Below are 18,777 nucleotides of genomic sequence, written 5' to 3'. Positions count from 1 at the left end.
TTCAATTTCCCACCTTTGCATAGACCCAAAATCTTATGTTTCCCCAACTACCTTTAAAACACAAGTCTCTTGAACGTCAACATTGTCAAAAGACCCTGGGAAGTCATCATGTACGCTGCAGCTAACCATTCTGGTTTCCATTCTTCTCCCTAGAAGCCAGTCTTTCAGCCCCGGGGGATTTCCCTTCCTTTCTTATGATATCAACCATACATTCAAAGAAATGCTTATTATGTGTTTTCCTGCATTACTAGATATTTTGTATATCAGAAGGTCTTTCATGGTAGCCTTTCCATTGAAGTGTTGGATTCAGATGTCCCAATATCTTTTTAACTTCCAGGTACCTGTATCACAAGCATTTGACATTATGACTCTAATTACAGGTTTTTTTGTTTTTGTTTTTTTGAGATGGAGTCTCGCTCTGTCACCTAGGCTGGAGTGCAGTGGTGCAATCCCGGCTTACGGCAAACTCCGTCTCCCGGGTTTACACCATTCTCCTGCCTCAGCCTCCTGAGTAGCTGGGACTACAGGCGCCCGCCACCACGCCTGGCTAATTTTTTGTATTTTTAGTAGAGACGGGGTTTCACCGTGTTAGCCAGGATGGTCTTGATATCCTGACCTCATGATCCGCCCGCCTCGGCCTCCCAAAGTGCTGGGATTACAGGTGTGAGCCACCGCACCTGGCCAATTACAGGTTATTAAATTACTTATTGCAGTGTATTTTGTCATGTGAAATTAGTCATTACAAATATAAGCCAAATTAAAAGAGAATGAAATGAAATTCCTTCTTCTTGGTTACATTATTTTGATACTTCTACAGCTGTTTTCACTGTGTAAGCTAATTTTTAAGTACTTTTTTATGTGGCAATGTTGCTTCAAAAACATTTTAAAGGATAATTTCCAGTTTCCTTTTTTAAAAAAGGAAATTAAATGAAAGGCAATTTCCAACCAAATGAAGTTCACCAGGAATATACAATTATGAAAAAAAAATTACTTGTCAGAGACATTACAAAGGCAGAGTTCCAACACAACAAATGGCCAATTGTGATCATGTTTATCAAAGAATCTGGTATTTCTTTACATAGTTTAAAACGGATTAAATTTGAAAAGTAAAAAAATATAATACTTATTCACATTTTCACCAGGCATTTTTGGATTAGTTGCACTATTATCAGTGAAAGAAGAAAGTATTTTAAAAGGTGAGTCATAATTTCTCATAACATTACTAAGTTAGCATCAACATTACTGGGACTTAAAGCCTCAGTCCCAACTACTTGTTTTGGCTGAAAGTGTGTGAAACTCAGATATATGTGTGGATTACCAACACCACCCTGCAATGAAGGGGATTAGCTCTGTCACAACAAAATGAAAAGCATATAGCTGAGATAGGCATAACTGCTAAATATTTGGTTACTTCAACTTTTAAAGCAATATGTGTAAATTTCATTTCCCAGCTTACCAGGTGGGTACTTATAAGAACAGAGAAATTTTCTCCTGAACATGATGTATACCTCCAAACCCACAGAAGAAAATGTGGCATCTACCTAATGCTCTCAAATTGTAGTGAACATAATAATCACCTCTGTATTGGAGATTTGGTATTTTTGGCCACTAGGCACCCAATCTCTCTTTTTATTAGCACCATGTGCTGGATTGTCTGTTTCGACTTGGACAGTAAAGCACCAGGTCTAAGGCCCTGTGCAGAAAATAGTTAACACAGCAGACCTGAAACTGCTGCCTTAAAAAATCCTGCTTGAAAAGTTGGCTTTGGGTTGGTGTCTGGGGACTTGGATTTTGAGAGGATTTCCACCATTCCCAGAACTGATAAGAGTGGCTTGCTGTGCCTAGACTGTTTGTACAAACAATATGATTTACGCTGAACATCTGCTTTACCCTGGAAGTCTGGAATGTTGGCTCATGCTGGGCAGAGGGTACTTATGTGACCAGCCCTCAATAAAAACCTTGGGTACTAAGTCTTTAACACGCAGACTTAGGAAACAACATTTCAAACATGCTGTCATAAACTGTTGCTGGAGGAATTAAGTATGTGTGCGACTCTACAGGAGAAGAATTCTTGGAAGTTTGTACCTGGTTTCCTCTGGACTTCACTCATTGTGCCCTTTCCTTTTGCTTGTTTTGCTTTGAATCCTTTCACTGTAATAAATCATAGCCATGAGTATGACTGTATGCTGAGTCATGTGAGTCCTGCTAGCCAAATCCTCACACCTGGAATAGTCTTGGGGACCCCCACACAGAGTGAAAACAACACATCCCAGAATCCCTCTCTCTATAGGGTTAGAATTGGCCAATGAAAGAAATTGTGCAGCATTTGGAAAACAAGCACCACACAGAAGTTATTACTCTCAGAAAGTCGTAGCAGTCAGACATGGTAATGGACAGACACAAACATATTCAGTGGGTCACAGACGATCCTTACTTTCCTACTCTGAGCTCGTATCAACTGCTGGCTTCATTGTTTGTATTAGTCCATTTTCACACTGCTATAAAGACATACCTGAGCCTGGGTAATTTAATTTATAAAGAAAAGAGGTTTAATTGACTCACAGATTTGCATGCCTCAGGAAACTTACAATCATGGCAGAAGGGAAAGCAGGCACATCTTACACGGCAGCAGGCGAGAGAGAGCAAAAGCAGGGAAAACTGCCCTATAAAACCATCAGATCTCATGAGAACTCACTCACTATTACAAGAACAACATGGGGGAACCCACCTCTATGATCCAATCAACTCCACTGGGTTCTTTCCTCGACATATGGGGATTATGGGGATTATAATTCGAGATGAGATTTGGGTGGGGACACAGAGTCAAGCTGTTCAATTCCACAGAGTCACTGTTCAATTCCACCCCCAAGCACACCACCAAGCCCTTGTCTCCTGGCCTGCATAGGTAGAAGCTTCCACAAAGGCAGTGGCTTCAACACATCTCTCCATAATCTCCCAGATGCTATCCCACCTGAAAACCAAATATACACAGTTTCTTGCACTTTTCATCTTGAGTGTATTTGCAACAAAGATGCATATATAAAAAGGCAAGTACAACAATGTGTGACTAAGATCCCCTGCTCCTAAATGACAGGCTATTGTTGTCAGGTATTTTATTTCGTTCCTTTTCAAACCATAAAATTAAAATGCTATTATTATTAAAGGCAGAATGTTTTTGTTTAAATTTGTCTATATGTTTTACCAATTTCTTTACTCATATTCTTTCTTGTATCTCAGACTGTCATTCCAAGGCCACTTTCTTCTTCTTTAAGTACACATAATAAAGTTAATTTAGTCAAGTCTTGTGGTAAACATTCCCATTTTTATTGACCCCATAATAATTTACTTATTCATGGGGTACATGTGAGTATTTGTTACATGCATAGAATATGTAATGATCAAGTAAAAGTATTTGGGTATCCATCTCCTTGAGTATCATTTCTGTGTCACAAACATTTCAAGTCCTCTCTTGCAGCTACTCTGAAATACACAATACATTCATTGTGCTAACTATAGTCATCCTACTCTGCTATTGAAAATCAGAACTTATTTATTCCAACTCACTGTATGTTTGTACCCATTTACCAATCACTCTTGATCACCCTCCTTCCCACCCACATGTACTTCCCAGCCTCTGGTAGCTATCATTCTATTCTTTATCTCCATGAGATCAACTTTTATAGCTCCCACATATGGGTGAGAATATGCAATATTTGTCTTTCTGTGCCTGGTTTATTTCATTTAACATAATGACCTCCAGTTCCACTCATGTTGCTGCAAATGACATGATTTCATCCCTTTTTATGGCCAAATAGTATTCCATTGTGTATATATACCATATTTTCTTTATTCATTCATCCACTGATGGACAGTTAGGCTGATTCCATATCTTTGCTATTGTGAATAGTGCTATAATAAACATAAAGGTGCAGATATTCGTTTGATATACTGATTCCCTTTCCTTTAAATAAATACCCAAAGTAGGATTACTGGATCAAATAGTAGCTCTGTTTTTTATTTTTTGAGAAATCTCTATACTGTTTTACATAATGAATGTACTCATTTACATTCCCACCAACAGTGTAAAAGAGTTTTCTTTTTTTCCACATCTTCACCTGCATCTATTATTTTTTGTCTTTTTTATAATAACCATTCTAGTAAGATGATATCTCATTGTGGTTTTGATGTTCATTTCCTTGATAATTAGGAATGTTGAACAACTTTTTTAAACTTGTTGGCCATTTGTATGTCATCTTTTGAGAAATGTTTACTGATGTCCTTTACCCACTTTTTAATGGACTATTTAGTTTTAAAAATGGAGTTGTTTGAGTTCCTAGCATATTCTGGATATTAGTTCCGTGTTGGATAAATAGTTTGCAGATATTCTCTTCTGTTCAACGAGTTGTCTCTTTATTCTGTTGATTGCTTTGCTGTGCAGACGCTTTTAAGTTTAATATAATCCCATTTGTCTATTTTTGTTTCTGTTGTCTATGGTTTTGGGGTCTTAGCTATAAAATCTTTGCCTAGACCAATGTCCTGAAGTGTTTTCCCTAATGTTTTCTTCTAGCAGTTTTATAGTTTGGGGTCTTACATTTAAGTCCTTAATCTGTCTTGAGTTGACTTTTGCATACAGTGAGAGATAAGGGTGTAATTTCATACTTCTGCAAATTGTTACACAGTTTTCCCAGAACCATTTATTGAAGAGGTTGTCCTTTCCCCAATGTATGTCCTAAGTGAGTTGGTTGAAGATCAGTTGACTATAAATACATAGATTTATCTCTTGATTGTCTATTCTGTTACTTCGGTCTATTTGTCTGTTTTTATACCAATACCATGCTGTTTTGGTTATTACAGCCTTGTAATATATTTTGAAATCAGGTAGTGTGACACTTCCAGCTTTGTTCTCTTTTGCTCAGGATTGCTTTGGCTATTCGGGCTCTTGTTTGGATCAATACAAATTTTAGGATTACCTTTTTCTAAGTCTGTGAAAAATGACATAAATAATTTGATAGGAATTGCATTAAATCTGTAGATTGCTTTGAGCACTATAATCACTTAAATGATGTTAATTCTTACAATCCATGAGCATGGAATGTCTTTCCATTTGTTTCCTCTTCAATTTCTTCCATCAGTGAGTGCTTTTTTAGTTTTTCTTGTAGCGATGGCTCACCTTTTTTAGTTAAAATTATTCTTAGGTATTTTTTTGTAGCTATTGTAAATGGGATTGCCTTCTTGATTTCTTTCTCAGCTAGTTCATTATAGGTATATAGAAATGCTACAGATTTTTGTATGTTGATTTTGTATCTTGCAACTTTACTGAAAGTATTAATCAGATCTAAGTTTTTTGGTGGAGTCTTTAGGTTTTACTAGATGTATGATCATATCATCAGCAAAAAGTAAATTTCGCTTCCTTTTTCAAATTTGGATGTATTTTACTTCTTCTTCTTGCCTGATTATGCTGGCTAGGATTTTCATTACTATGTTGAATAGGAGTGGTGAAAGTTAGCATCCTCATCTTATTCCAGTTCTCAGAGAAATGGCTTTCAGCTTTTCCCCATCCTATACAATGTTAGTTGTAGATTTGTCACATATGGCCTTTTTTATGTTGAGGTATGTTCCTTCTATGCCTAGTTTGTTGCAAGTTTTTATCATGAAGGGATGTTAAATTCTATCAAATGCTTTTTCTGCACCAATTGAGATTGTATGTAATCAACCGTATTAATTTTCTGCTTCATTTTGTTAATGTGATGTATCATGTTTATTGATTTTTATATGTTGAACCATCCTCGAGACACATCCCTCTTGATCATGGTATATTATTTTTTTATGTGCTGTTGGAATCAGTTTGCTAGTATTTTGGGGAGAATTTTTGCATCTATGTGCATAAAGAGAGTTTGGTGTGTAGTTTTCTTTTTTGTTGAGTCTGGTTTTGCCATCAGGTTAATTCTTGCCCTATAGAATGAGTTAGGGAAAAGACCCTTCTGTTGGATTTTTTGGAATAGTTTGAGGATACTGGATGTTAGTCCTTCTTTAAAGTTTAATAGAATTTGACAGTGAAGCCGTCTGGTTCTGAACTTCTCTTTGTTGGGAGACATTGTATTACTGCTTCAACTTTTTTATTTGTTATTGGTCTCTTCAGGTTTTCTATGTCTTCCTGATTCAATCTTGGAAGGTCGTGTGTGTCTAGGAATTTATCCATTTTGTCTGGGTTTTCTAGTTTGTTGATGTATAGTTGCTCATAATAGTCTCATGATCTTTTGTATTGCTGTGGGATCAGTTGTAACGCCTTCTTTTTCATTTCCGATTGTGTTTATATGGGTCTTCTCTCTCTTTTATTGGTTACTCCAGGCAGTGATTCATTGATTTTATTTACTCTTTTCAAAAAAACAATTTTTTATTTTATAAATTTTTATATTACTTTTTTAGTCTTTATTTCATTTAGTTCTGCTCTGATTTTTATTATTTATTGCCATCTACTAATTTTGTGCCTGGTTTATTCTTGCTTTTTTAGTTAGTTGAGGTACATCATTAGGTTGTTAATTTGGGTCTTAGTAAAAGTATATTCCTACTTTTTTGATGTAGGCATTTACTGCTATAAACTTCCCTTATAGCACTGCTTTTGCTGTTTCTCACAGGTTTGATATGTTGTGTTTACATTTTCATTTGTTTCAATAATTTTTAAAAAAATGTTCTTGCTAATTTCTTCATTGACCCAATGTCATAATGTCATGCAGGAGCATCCATCTATTTGTACAGTTTCAAAAGTTCCCCTTGTTATAGACGACTAGTTTTATTCCATTGTGGTCTGAGAAGATACTTGATATTATTTCAATTTTTAAAAATTTGTTGAGACTTGTTTTGTGTCTTCACATATGGTCTATCCTGAAGAATGTTCCATGTGCTGATAAAAATATGTGTATTCTGTAGCTGCTGAGCAAAATGTTCTGTAAATGCCTGTTAGGGCATTTGGTCTAATGCGTTAATTTTCTGTCTAGATTATCTGTCTAATGCAGAGAGTGGGGTGTTGAAGTCTCCAACAATTATTGTATTGGAGTCTATATCTCCCTTTAAATTTAATAACATTTGTTTTATATATCTGGGTGCTCCAGTGTTGAGTGCATATATATTTACTATTTAAAAAATTATTTAGAGACTGGGTCTCACTGTATTGATGAGGCTGGTCTCAAACTCCTGGCTTCAAGTGATCCTCCTGCCTTGACCCTCCCGAAGTGCTGGAATTATAAGCATGAGGCACTGCATCTGACCTATTTACTATTTTTATGTAGGCTGGCTGAATGATGTTTTTATAATAAAAATTTGACCTTCTTTGTCTCTTTTTACTGTTTTTGGCTTTAAGTCTGTTTAATCTATATATAGTTATTCCTGCTTGCTTTTGGTTCACATTTTTTTGGAATATCTTTTTCCATCCCCTTACTTACAGTCTATATATGTCTTTATATAGGAGATGAGTTTCTTGTAGGCAACATCTAGTTGAGTCATGTTTTTTGTTTTTGTTTTAATCCATTCAGCCATTTTTTTCTGGGCTTTTGTAAATTTATCAATTAGAGTCTCTTGCTAAAGAACTATTGTGTTCCATTGGAGGCATCATATTTCCTTGCTTTTTCAGGTTTCCTGTGTATTTACATTGATATCTGTGCATCTGGTATAACAGACTTCTTTCAATTTTTTGAATTTGTTTTCTTAAGGGAGGACTTTTTCTTGAAGATGTATCTATGGTGTTGGTTGGGTGGCATACCTTGGCTTTGATTCTGGGTGTATGCGTGAGTGTAGACTCTGTATGATTTCTTTGGCTGTAAATAGCGTCAGTGGTATCTGATTTTCTTGGTGACATAGGATGTGGTTATTAATGGAGGCTGTGGTGAAGTTTTGCTGAGTACTAGGATGCCAAGTGGGCCAGTCTTTGGGCCCCAGTGGTGGCAGTGGTGGGCTGAGGCCTGTCCTTGGGCCCCTGAGCAGCTTATGTTGGCACCAGAGTCAGCAGGTCCAGGCTGGCTGATCCTCGCGCCTCAAAGTGGCTTGCTTGGATGTCAGTAGTGGCAGTTGTGGGCCAAGAAGGCAGTGGGGTTCTCAGGCCTCTAGGCAGCCAGCATGGGATGGGCAGTGTCAGTCACAGGGGCAGGACAACCCTCTGGGTCCTAAGTGGTGCATGCTGGTGTTGGTGGTGGCTGCAATGGGCTGGATGGGCTAGTCTCCAGCCCAAATGTGGCGCATGCAGGTAGGTACCAGCAGTGGTTGTATCATCAGGTGAGTAGGCCCAACCTCATGCCTCCCTGGGAAGAGTGCTCAGGTGCCAATAGTGGTGGATTGAACTGGACAGTTCCCAGGTTCCCAGACTATATGCTCTGGCATGAGGGGTTGAAGCCAGGCCAAGCAGGCTTGTCCTCAGACCCCCTAATTGTGTGTACAGGTGCCTTCAATGTTAGGCAGAAGCAGGGAAATCCCCAGGCCTCCAGCGGAATGCTGGAGTTGGACAAAGCAGTGGCCGTGCTGCAGCCCTGCCTCTGAGAAGGGCAGGGACACCTTCGATGATGGCAGCCTAAGTTGGTGGGTGGAAAACATGCACCGCACTCATGTTTCAGCCTCTGTGGCAACAGCCTAAGCCTCACTCACACTTCAGCTCTGGTGCCACTGGGCCCCAGGACAGTGCTTAGTCTGTCGTGGGCTGGGCTTTCAAAATGGTGCCTTACTGTAGCTGTCTATGACTCAGGGGGAATGTGGGACCCAGCACAATTCCTTCCCTGGAGCAGTGCCATTATGCCGTCTCCAAGTAGCTCCCCATGCTAGTTTCAGGGCCTGTAAGGGTCTAGGTTCTTTCCCGTGACTAGGATTGCAGAAGTCATGGTGGAACCATAGTCCGCAGGGGGTCACTCATTTACCCTTTCCCTGTATTCCCCACTCCCAGACAATCCTGGCTGAGAAGGCTGCCTCGCTTCTTTCTCCTTCCTTGCTTTAGGTTTTTCTGTCACTTTCCTGTTGAATTCCAGTGTTCTGCTTTGGATGATCCATTCAAAGTGTGATTATTCACTATTTTGGTTCTTCTTTGGGCAGGAGGCAAGTATGAAATGCTTCTAGTCGGCCATCTTGAAGTCCATTCCCAGATGTTTTGATTATATAGAAATAACTTAATTTTTCCATTTTTATTGAAGATAGGTATTAAAAATACAGAAATTTTGGTTGATACTGATTTTTCTTCAGCACTCTAAAGATATTTTTCCTTTTTTCTCCATATTATTTATGTTGAGGAAACTACATAATTATTCTAATTGTAATTTCTGCAAGTTATTTGCCTTTCCTTTCCACTTGTTTTTAAGATTGCTTTGTTTTTAGTGTTTTTAGTGTTCTGTACTTTCACTATATAGTGTCCACTTGATTTATCTTGATTTACATATATTATCCCTCTTATATTTGTTAATTTTTGTCTTTCACTAGTCCCAGAAAATGCATAATCTTTTCAAATATTATATCTTCTTTGATCTCTCAATTCTTTCCTTCTTGGAATCCTGCTAGATCTTTTCATTTGGTACTCCATAAATTTTTTACCGCTTGCAATAATGACTTCTGTTATTTCCATTTTTATTAAAGTATAAATTACATAAGGCAAATTTACCCTTTTTAATATACAGTTCTGTAAGTTTAACAAGCACATACAGTCACATAACCCCCACTGTATCCAAGAATTTGACTCATTTCATCACTCCTAAAAATGACACTGTGCCATGTTATAGTTAACTCCACTGCCCAACCCAAGATCCTGGCCACCACTGATCTTGCTGTCACTATAGTTATGCCTTTTCCAGAATGTCAAATACATAAAATTATAGAGTATAGAGCCTTTTAAGTCTGGCTCCTTTCACTTAGCATAATACATTTGAAATTCATGCATATTGTAGGCCGGGCGTGGTGGCTCACGCCTGTAATCCCAGCACTTTGGGAGGCCGAAGCTGTTGGATCACGAGGTCAGGATTTCAAGACCAGCCTGGCCAACATAGTGAAACCCCGTCTCTACTAAAAATACAAAAATTAGCTGGGCATGGTGGCGTGTGCCTGTAATCCCAGCTACTTGGGAGGCTGAGGCAGGAGAATTGCTTGAACTGGGACCCGGGAAGCGAAAGTTGCAGTGAGCCAAGATAGCACTACTGCACTCCAGAGTGAACTACAGAGTGACACTCCATCTCAAAAAAAAAAAAAAAAAAAAATTAGACGGGTGTGGTGGCACATGCCTGTAATCCCAGCTACTTGGGAGGCTGAGGCAGGAGAATCGCTTGAACCTGGGAGGAGGAACTTGCGGTGAGCCAAGATCACACCATTGCACTCCAGCCTGGGCAACAAGAGAGAAACTCTATCTCAAAAAAAAAAAAAAAAAAAAAGAAATTCATGCATATTGTTTTGTGATTCAGTAATCTGTTCCTTTTTAATGCTAAGTGGTATTCAAATGTACAATTATTCCATAATTTGTCTATCCATTCTCCAGTTGAGAGACATTTGGGTTGACTTTAGTTTGTTAGTTTTTGGCAATAACAAGTAAAGCCCCTATAAATACTCACATCCAGATTTTCATGTGAACATAAGTTATTATTTCACTGGGGGAACACCTAGGTGTGGGATTGCTGAGTTGTACGATAAGTGCATGTGTAACTTCAAAAGAAACTGGCTGACTGATTTCCAAAGTCTCTGAGCTATTTTGTGTCCCCACCTCTCTTGTGTGAGAGAGTTGCACTTGTTCCACATCTTTGCCATTTTTGGTATTTTCCTTTTATGTACTTTTTAAGCCTTTCTAATAGGTATGTAGTGATATCTTATTGTGGTTTTAATGACCATATTCTTCATAACTAATTTTACTGAGTAATGTTTATATGCTTATTTTCCATGGGTATATTTTTTTTGGTGAAGTGTCTATTCAAGTTTTTGTCCATTTTTTTCATTGTTTAGTTTTCTATTAGTGAGTATTGAGAGGTATTTATATAGCCTGCATACAATTACTTTATCAGATACATGATTTGAAAACATTTTCTCAGTCTGTGGCTTCTGTTTTTATTCTCTTAAAAGTGTCTTTTTAGGGGCAGAAGTTTTTCTTTTTGATGACTTCAATCCATCAATTATTTCTCATATTGATCATGTTTCTAGTATAGTATCTAAGAACTCCTTTCTTCCACTCAAGGCTACAGAAATTTTTTCTATTTTTTTTCTAGAAGTTGTGTAGTTTCAATTTTACATTTAGATTTATGATTCATTTTGAGTAAATTTTTGCATACAGTGTAACATACAGATCAAGGTTCATTATATGTATGTGGATAGCCAATTGATCCAACACCATTTGTTGAAAAGGACTGTTCTTTCTACAATGAATTGTCTTTGTACCTTCATCAATAATTAATTAAATATATATACTTTGTGAGCTCTTTATGATATGGTTTTGCTCTGTGTCACCACCCAAATTTCATCTTGAATTGGAATTCCCATAATCCCCACATGTCGAAGGCAGGACCTGACGGGAAGTAATTGGATCACAGGGTCAGTTTCCCCCATGGAGTTCTTATGATTGTCACTGAGTTCTCAAAAGATATGATGGTTTTATAAGGGGCTTCCCCCTTTGCTCATTTGCTGTCTTGCCTGCCACCATTTAAGACGTGCCTCTTCCCCTTCTGCCATGATTGTAAGTTTCCTGAGGCCTCCCCAGCCCTGAGAAACTGTGAGTCAATTAAACCTCTTTTCTCTATAAACTACCCAGTCTTGGGTATGTCTTTATAGCAGTGTGAGAATAGACTAACACATTTCTGTCCTATTAGTTTATATATACATCCTTTCTCTAAAGTTGTCTTGTCTTCACTCTGGCATTAGAGTAAGTCTTGAATTCAGATAGTGTTTCTTTAGTATTGTGCTGACAATTTTAGACCTTTGCCTTTCTATATAAACTTTATAATCATTTTGCATATCTACCAAATAACTTCTTGAGTAAGCTTTGGTGTTTTCTGTCTTTAAAGGATTTGGTCCACCTCATCTAAGTTAACAAATTTATTGGCATAAAGTTGTTAATATTCCCTTCCTATACTTTTAACATCTATAGGTTCTATGCTAATGGCCCATCCTTCATTTTGGATATTTGTTATTTCTTGCTTGTCTCTTTTTTCTTGGTCAATTTAGCTAGAGGTTTATCCATTATTACTTCATTTTCTCTGCCCCAATCTCTCTCTCCTCTGCTTCTGGGATTTCAGTTACACATATTTCAGACTGCCTGATTTTTTTTATATGGGTTACTAAGGCTTTTTCTTCTTCCTTATTTCCCCAGTCTTTTTCTTCTCTATGCATTTTGTTGGTTTGTCTTCAAATTCACAACCCTTTTCTTTTTTAGGGTACAATCTGTCATCATTTAGTGAATTTCTGACTAATATATCATCATTTCTGGCACAGTGTTTTTCATTTCTAAAATGCACACTTGGTTATTTTTTACAGAATACATTTCTCTCTAGAGAGTATCCATCTGTTTACTTACTGTGTCCAACATTTCTTTTAAATCTTTGATCATATTTATGAAACTCTATTAATTCCAATGTCCATGCTTTCTCTAGTCTTGGTTTTTGTTTTTTGTTTTTTGGTTTTTGGTTTTGGTTTTGTTTTGTTTCTTTTTGAGATGAAGTCTCACTCAGTTGCCTAGGCTGGAGTGCAGTGGCATGATCTCGGCTCACCGCAAGCTCCGCCTCCCAGGTTCAAGCGATTCTCCTGCCTCAGTCTTCTGAGTAGCTGGGATTACAGGCATGCATCACCACGCATAGCTAATTTTTGTATTTTTAGTAAAGACGGGGTTTCACCATGTTGGTCAGGCTGGTCTCGAACTCCTGACCTCATGATCTGCCCGCCTCGGCCTCCCAAAGTGCTGAGATTACAGGCGTGAGCCACTGTACCCGGCCTCTGGTCTTGTTTTTAATTGATTTTTTTCTCATGAGGATGAGTCACATTTTCCTCATTTTTCAAATCTCATAAAATTTTTGCTGTATGCTGAACGTTACCAATGTGATTTGTCGGAGAGTTGGAATATTGTTGTTGTATTTTTGAGTTTAGTTTTAAACCCTGTTCTTTAGTTAATTTATTGGGAGATCAGCTTGATCCTATTGGGGCTTGACTTTGAACTCTGTTTAGGTATATCTATAGCAGCCTTATTCTAGGACTGATGTATCCTTTTCGATAAGTTATGGCCTTTGTGGGATCTCAGTGCAACCCATTTCCTAACGTATAGCCTTTTGGGTGTCTTACTTGCATACTCAAAGTGTTCACCAAAGTCTCTTTACTTGCCGGTTGGATGTCTTTCAGCAATCTGCAACCTCTGGAATCTCCATTTAGTTCAGAGCCCCCAGGGGCTGTTCTTTGCCATGTTTCACTGAGTCTTACCCTATGATTGTTCAGCTTAAAATTCAGCTAAATAAGCAAAGGGATCCCAGTGCAGATTTCTGGAGCTCCTACTTTGCACAGCTCTCTCATCTCTGGTATTATGCCCCTCATCTCGACTTCAGTTTTTCTTTCCTCCATTCCGTGAGACTGCTGCTCTGTTTAGGTTCCACAAATTTTGTGTTGCATTTTCAAAGCTGGAGGGAAGGTGAAACTCACCTTTTTTGCTCCTTTTATGTCAAGGTCATAGTGCCACACTATTGTCCAGTGCCTAAACACTGCTGTTTCATATATTTGTCTAAATTAACAATTGTTTATTGTAGGAAGGTACATCCAACAATCATTATTCTATCATGGATAGAATAATAAATTCATTTGAAAAAAATTATTTAATATGGAATAGCTACTTTGTATTTTGTTTCATATCATCAATATCTGAAGTCCTTGGCATAGAATTCTGTTTATTTTGATTTATACGGATTCTTACTCATAGTCAGTTTTTTCTATGAGTTTAATGATCTTTGAATGTGAGCTTTTATTTGTTTGATCTTGATATGTGACGATCCTAGGAACTGATGAAGTAATGGACTTTCCCCAAAAAGGATTTGTAATTGCTACTGCTGAAAGCCAGGGGGCACTACCAACCTGGGTCCACTTTGGTCCACTTCTAGGATCCTGGACTTAACGCAAGAGCCTGATGTTCTGCTTTCCTACCTTGCAGTGGCTTAGTCTTCAGATCTAGATAGCTAGAGAGGACCTTTTTTCCAGTTTTCTAGTTGCTCACTGCTCCTCACTCTGACTTCAGTGTCCTATTTTGTTATTTTTTTTTTTTTGTGGAGGAATTTGGAGGAATTTTTTTAGTCCCCTACCCCTACGTGCCCCCTTCAAAAAAAAAAAAAAGAAAGAAAGAGAGAGAACAGAAAAAAGAAAAGAAATGAAATGAAAGAAAAAGGTAAACTATTAATATTTATTATACATATTAACAATGGAGCTGTCATCTTGTCAGAAGGTTAAATTGACATGAGTCATATAAGTATTCTGAGGGAAGATTGGGAGTTCTACAACTCAGAAGAATTCACAACAGACTCAGGAATTCTCTCCACTTTGGCATATGGCCATATACTTTATCTAGGTAAGTGGATTTAAGGAGGATATTATAAACTATTCCTCACAAAATGTACACACGGCTTAAGAAGAATCTTGCAAAGAAATTGTATGTAACACAAATAATAAAAGCACAGTACAGGTTTTAAAATATGGCAGACTTGATACTTCTGATTTTAGCACTTTATCAGCTTCATTACAAGGAAAAAGCAATGATAATGCAATCAGATGTCACAATGTCAGCCAACATTTTTTAAAATTAAAAATATTAGAATTATGTGAAATATGAATTTATATGCATTATCCTTCACTATTATCTGAGTCTAATTATATATTGCTCCTTGAGATGTCAGCTATTATAAAGCTACCAGATTAGCAAAATATTTTTAACATAAACAGAAAATAAAGATAATTTTCTGTATTTTTTCTGTGATGTTAGAAGTCATGCAATATTGAATCCATTACTTTGCAAAAAGACAGATTTTTTTCTTTTTTCTCAAGGTAGGGTCTTGCTTTACTACCCAGGCTGAAGTGCAGTGGTGTGATCATAGCTCAATGCAGCCTTGAAAAATCTGAGCTCAAGTGAGCCTCCCACCTCAGCCTCCCAAATAGCTGAGATTACAAGAGCATGACGTCATGCTAGATAACTTATTATTATTATTATTATTACTATTTTAGTAGAGACGAGATTTGCTACGTTGCCTAGGCTAGTCTGGAATTCTTGGGCTCAAAGGATCCTCCTGCCCCAGCCTCCCGTACTGCTGGGATTACAAGCATGAGCCACCCTGTCCTGTGAAAAGAGAAAGATTTCTTATTAGCAACAGACAAAAAGGAACATATCAGTTGGGAATATAGTGCTATTTCCTACTGTGGTTAAAAAAATGGCTGGGAATAAAAAAAAAAAAACAGAGAAAAATATTTGTTGACAAAACTAAAACGCAAACCTATTGGTCAACCAAAGCAGAAAAAGGGGTGGGGCAGGGGAAGGCTGAAGATTTGAAGAAAAAGGCATTTGAACAAATAAGCATTATGAACAAGCTTTGCTGTGTGTGCAGTTGAATGAAAGAATAAATATTTCTAACTATGTCTTAGCTTACGGTGTTGGCTTAATTCTGTTAAGCTTTTTTCTGTGCCATCAAAGTAAAAGTACCAAATACCAGGTGTCCTTATCAGTAAACAACTTCCTTAATAAGAACAATGTTTTATGAAAATCGATGAAGCAGTTCCCATCAATTTAAAAAGGAGTTCATACAGAAGTACAGAGATAGTACCACATGTGATAATTTTGTATAAATAAGACTTTTTAAAAAGTTTAATTTTCACACACTTTGAAATGAGAGGTGAAGAAAATCTTTTGTATTATACAGGTGTTTACTATTTATTTAGTGGCAAGCTTTTTTTTCATGATGACTGGTGGCTTCGAGTAGCATGTTACCTATCAGATTTTTTAAAAAAAATTAAAAAAAAATTTCCCTTCAAGGTAGATGTGATAACAATAACTAAGAAATTTAATACTTCCAAAAAACCTGTGCTAGGATGAGAGCATTTAGAAAACAGATATTTGAAAGTGTTTCAGTTTTGTGATTTTTTTCTGAAAAAACTTAAAATATAAATGTGTCACATATATAAATTTTCATATCTGCACACTTGAAAATCATGGGAACAGAGTTTCCCAATCTGCTTCAAAATCTTTCAGATAAATGGTTTTGCAACCATTTTGCTGAAAATTTCTAAATGTTATGTCTTCTAGTTTGATAGGAAAACTGATTGACATTAGGCAAGATGAATATTTGTTAGCCAAATTACTAGTTTGATAGGAAAACTGATTGACATTAGGGAAGATGGATATTTGTTAGCCAAATTACATTTCAAAAAGCTTTTGTATCACTGGGTGGACGAAATGGGAAAATGAGTTTTATGGTTTAGAAATGCGGCCAATACAGTAGTTCTTCCATTTTTAACTTTGCATTTTGTGAGGTCTCAGCTATTAAAACCCTATACCCACATAAACTCTTCTTAGAACTAGACTTTTAAATTTCAGTATCACAAAGTATATAACAAGAAATGTCGAGAATAATGAAGTATATTCAGCCCCATTGCTTTGTATTCGTGTCATTAGTAAAATAACATTAAAAATTACTTTTAACCATTTTTATTTTGTGTTTATGTTTTAAGTTCTAATTTAATTTAAAAAGTGAATATATATGTATTGCAGTGTATGTGCAAAAGTTCTTTTTTTAATGAACAGATGCACAAATAATTTTGATTGTTTATAATGACCTGTTAAGTAAGTCATTATTATAATCAACTGTTTATAATTTTGGTTTAGAATAGCCAACAAAATTTTTCTAAAATAGTTTTCCTAAAAAAATTCATGAGTAAAAATTTGTTTGGGAACAAGTAAAATGAGAAAACGGGAGAGAAAAATCACTCCAAATTCTACCATCTGTAGATAATAACTGTTGAAATTTTACTGCATACCCTTCTAGATTTCATTTTTTAACATATCTTCATCTTCCATAAACATAGGTTTATTCTTCATTTAAAACTGTTAGTCATAGAGAGTCTCTTTAAAGAATTATTTAAAAGGAAATTTATATGAGATTTTGGGACAGAGATTAAAATTTAAAGACACAATACTCAGGGGCTCTGTTCTGCTGTGACCAAGACATAATTAACACTGGATGGGATTGTAACATTTGTTAAATTTAATTCATTGCTTGTCGTGTAAATGGCCTTTAGATGTCTCAAATGTGCGGTTTAACTATGAAGTTACCAAGAAATAGTCTGACCAAATTTTGTGGCTTTTTACTTGCTTTATCTTCAAATGGCCTATGTACCAAGGCAGAGAGATTAAAGGGAACTAAGATTTTGATAAGGCTTTTGTTTCTGTTCAGTATTACAACTGTATCCCAAACCGATAAAATATGGTTTACATACTAGAATTATTACTAGAATTCTAGTTATATACTAGAATTATTAACTGCATGCAGGAGGGTAGAGAATAGAACCAAGGGAGTGACTATGAATGGAGTAATTGTATCCTCAGAATTAAGCAGTTATCTTCCAAAGGTATGGTCCTGGACTCGATCTTCTTATAGAACATTTTTTATCAATGACTAATACTACCAGAAAAAAAAAAACAGTCACTGACACAGCAAATGAAACCTAGCTGGGAAACGAAAACTAAGAAGAGGAAGTCACATTCTCAATGACCAGATTAGAATCAAAATAAAAATTGGAGAAGTAGTAAGAAGTAAACAAAATGAGTAAGTCATATGGGTCGGCTAAAAGATGCAAGGAAGAAAAAGAAGTTTCAAAAGGAGGAATAGCTAGCAATTGGCAAGTATCAAAGAAGAAAATTTAGGGGTTTTAACAAGTATCAATCTGACTATAAACAATAAAGTAGTGCTACTGTTTAAAAAGCAAACACATTATAAAATGTATTCCTTACTAAAATTTATCTAAACTTCTGCTTCCTAGTTGAGTGTCACTTGCAAACACTAATAACTTGTTCCTTTTCACCAGACCTGCCATTCACTCTAAGAGCAAATATGGAGAACCTAACCACTCAAACGACTGAAATAGTAACAGAGAAAAAACTAGTTTCGATGAAAGATTGAATGTAATTTTTTCTCCTGCAAGAAATAGAGTAATTGAATAATTGTCTTTAATAGCATACAGTTATAATGATTAAAATACTACTGGATTTAGGCACTTATGTACCTCAAGTAACTTAAAAGTAGATTAGTTGTACTCAACTTTCATAAAACACCGAGAGAAAATGAAGTTAAATTGTATTAGGAAGGAGTTAATGTAGAATATAGAGGGATTTTATAATATGATAAAAGATTTGTTGAAAATCAGAACAACTGTAAGAATCTGGTATAATTTCTACTGATAGATCTCTACTTTTCTTTAAGGGTGAAATGTGGTGATACATGGAGGGTTGAAATCCAACCCTCTGCCAGACCTCAAGTTTTGTGATTTTTGTTTTAGGCAGTAACTAGAATAAATAAATTGCACCAAGATTTTTAAAGCTATAACGGAGGGAGCACGCTTGTTGACATTAAAACTACTACTGGTAATGCCAGAAGACATTTCTTTAAAGTACTGTAATTGTGTTACATCCTTAAATCTAAGTGCAGTATCAGCCGCAGATATCTGATTGTAGACTTGGTTTAAAAAAAAAAAAAGAACTGGAATATATAGATAATTGGCAATATTCTAAGGAAGCAGTGTTCCTATTTTATTTTCCAGATGATGCTACTT

The 18,777-nt window shown here is 36.4% G+C and overlaps 1 annotated feature.

The window, feature by feature from the left end:
* Positions 17,581 to 17,680: an enhancer, noted in NCBI's record as "active region_22495". NCBI's record gives its function as "activates an Ori minimal core promoter by ATAC-STARR-seq in GM12878 lymphoblastoid cells {active_cell/tissue: GM12878}" and the evidence as "EXISTENCE:reporter gene assay evidence [ECO:0000049][PMID:35858748]".

Source organism: Homo sapiens, chromosome 5 (genome assembly GCF_000001405.40).
Source record: "Homo sapiens chromosome 5, GRCh38.p14 Primary Assembly".
NCBI classification, from domain to species: domain Eukaryota; kingdom Metazoa; phylum Chordata; class Mammalia; order Primates; family Hominidae; genus Homo; species Homo sapiens.
Note: the sequence above shows the minus strand (reverse complement) of the source record. Positions and strands in the feature narration are given on the sequence as shown.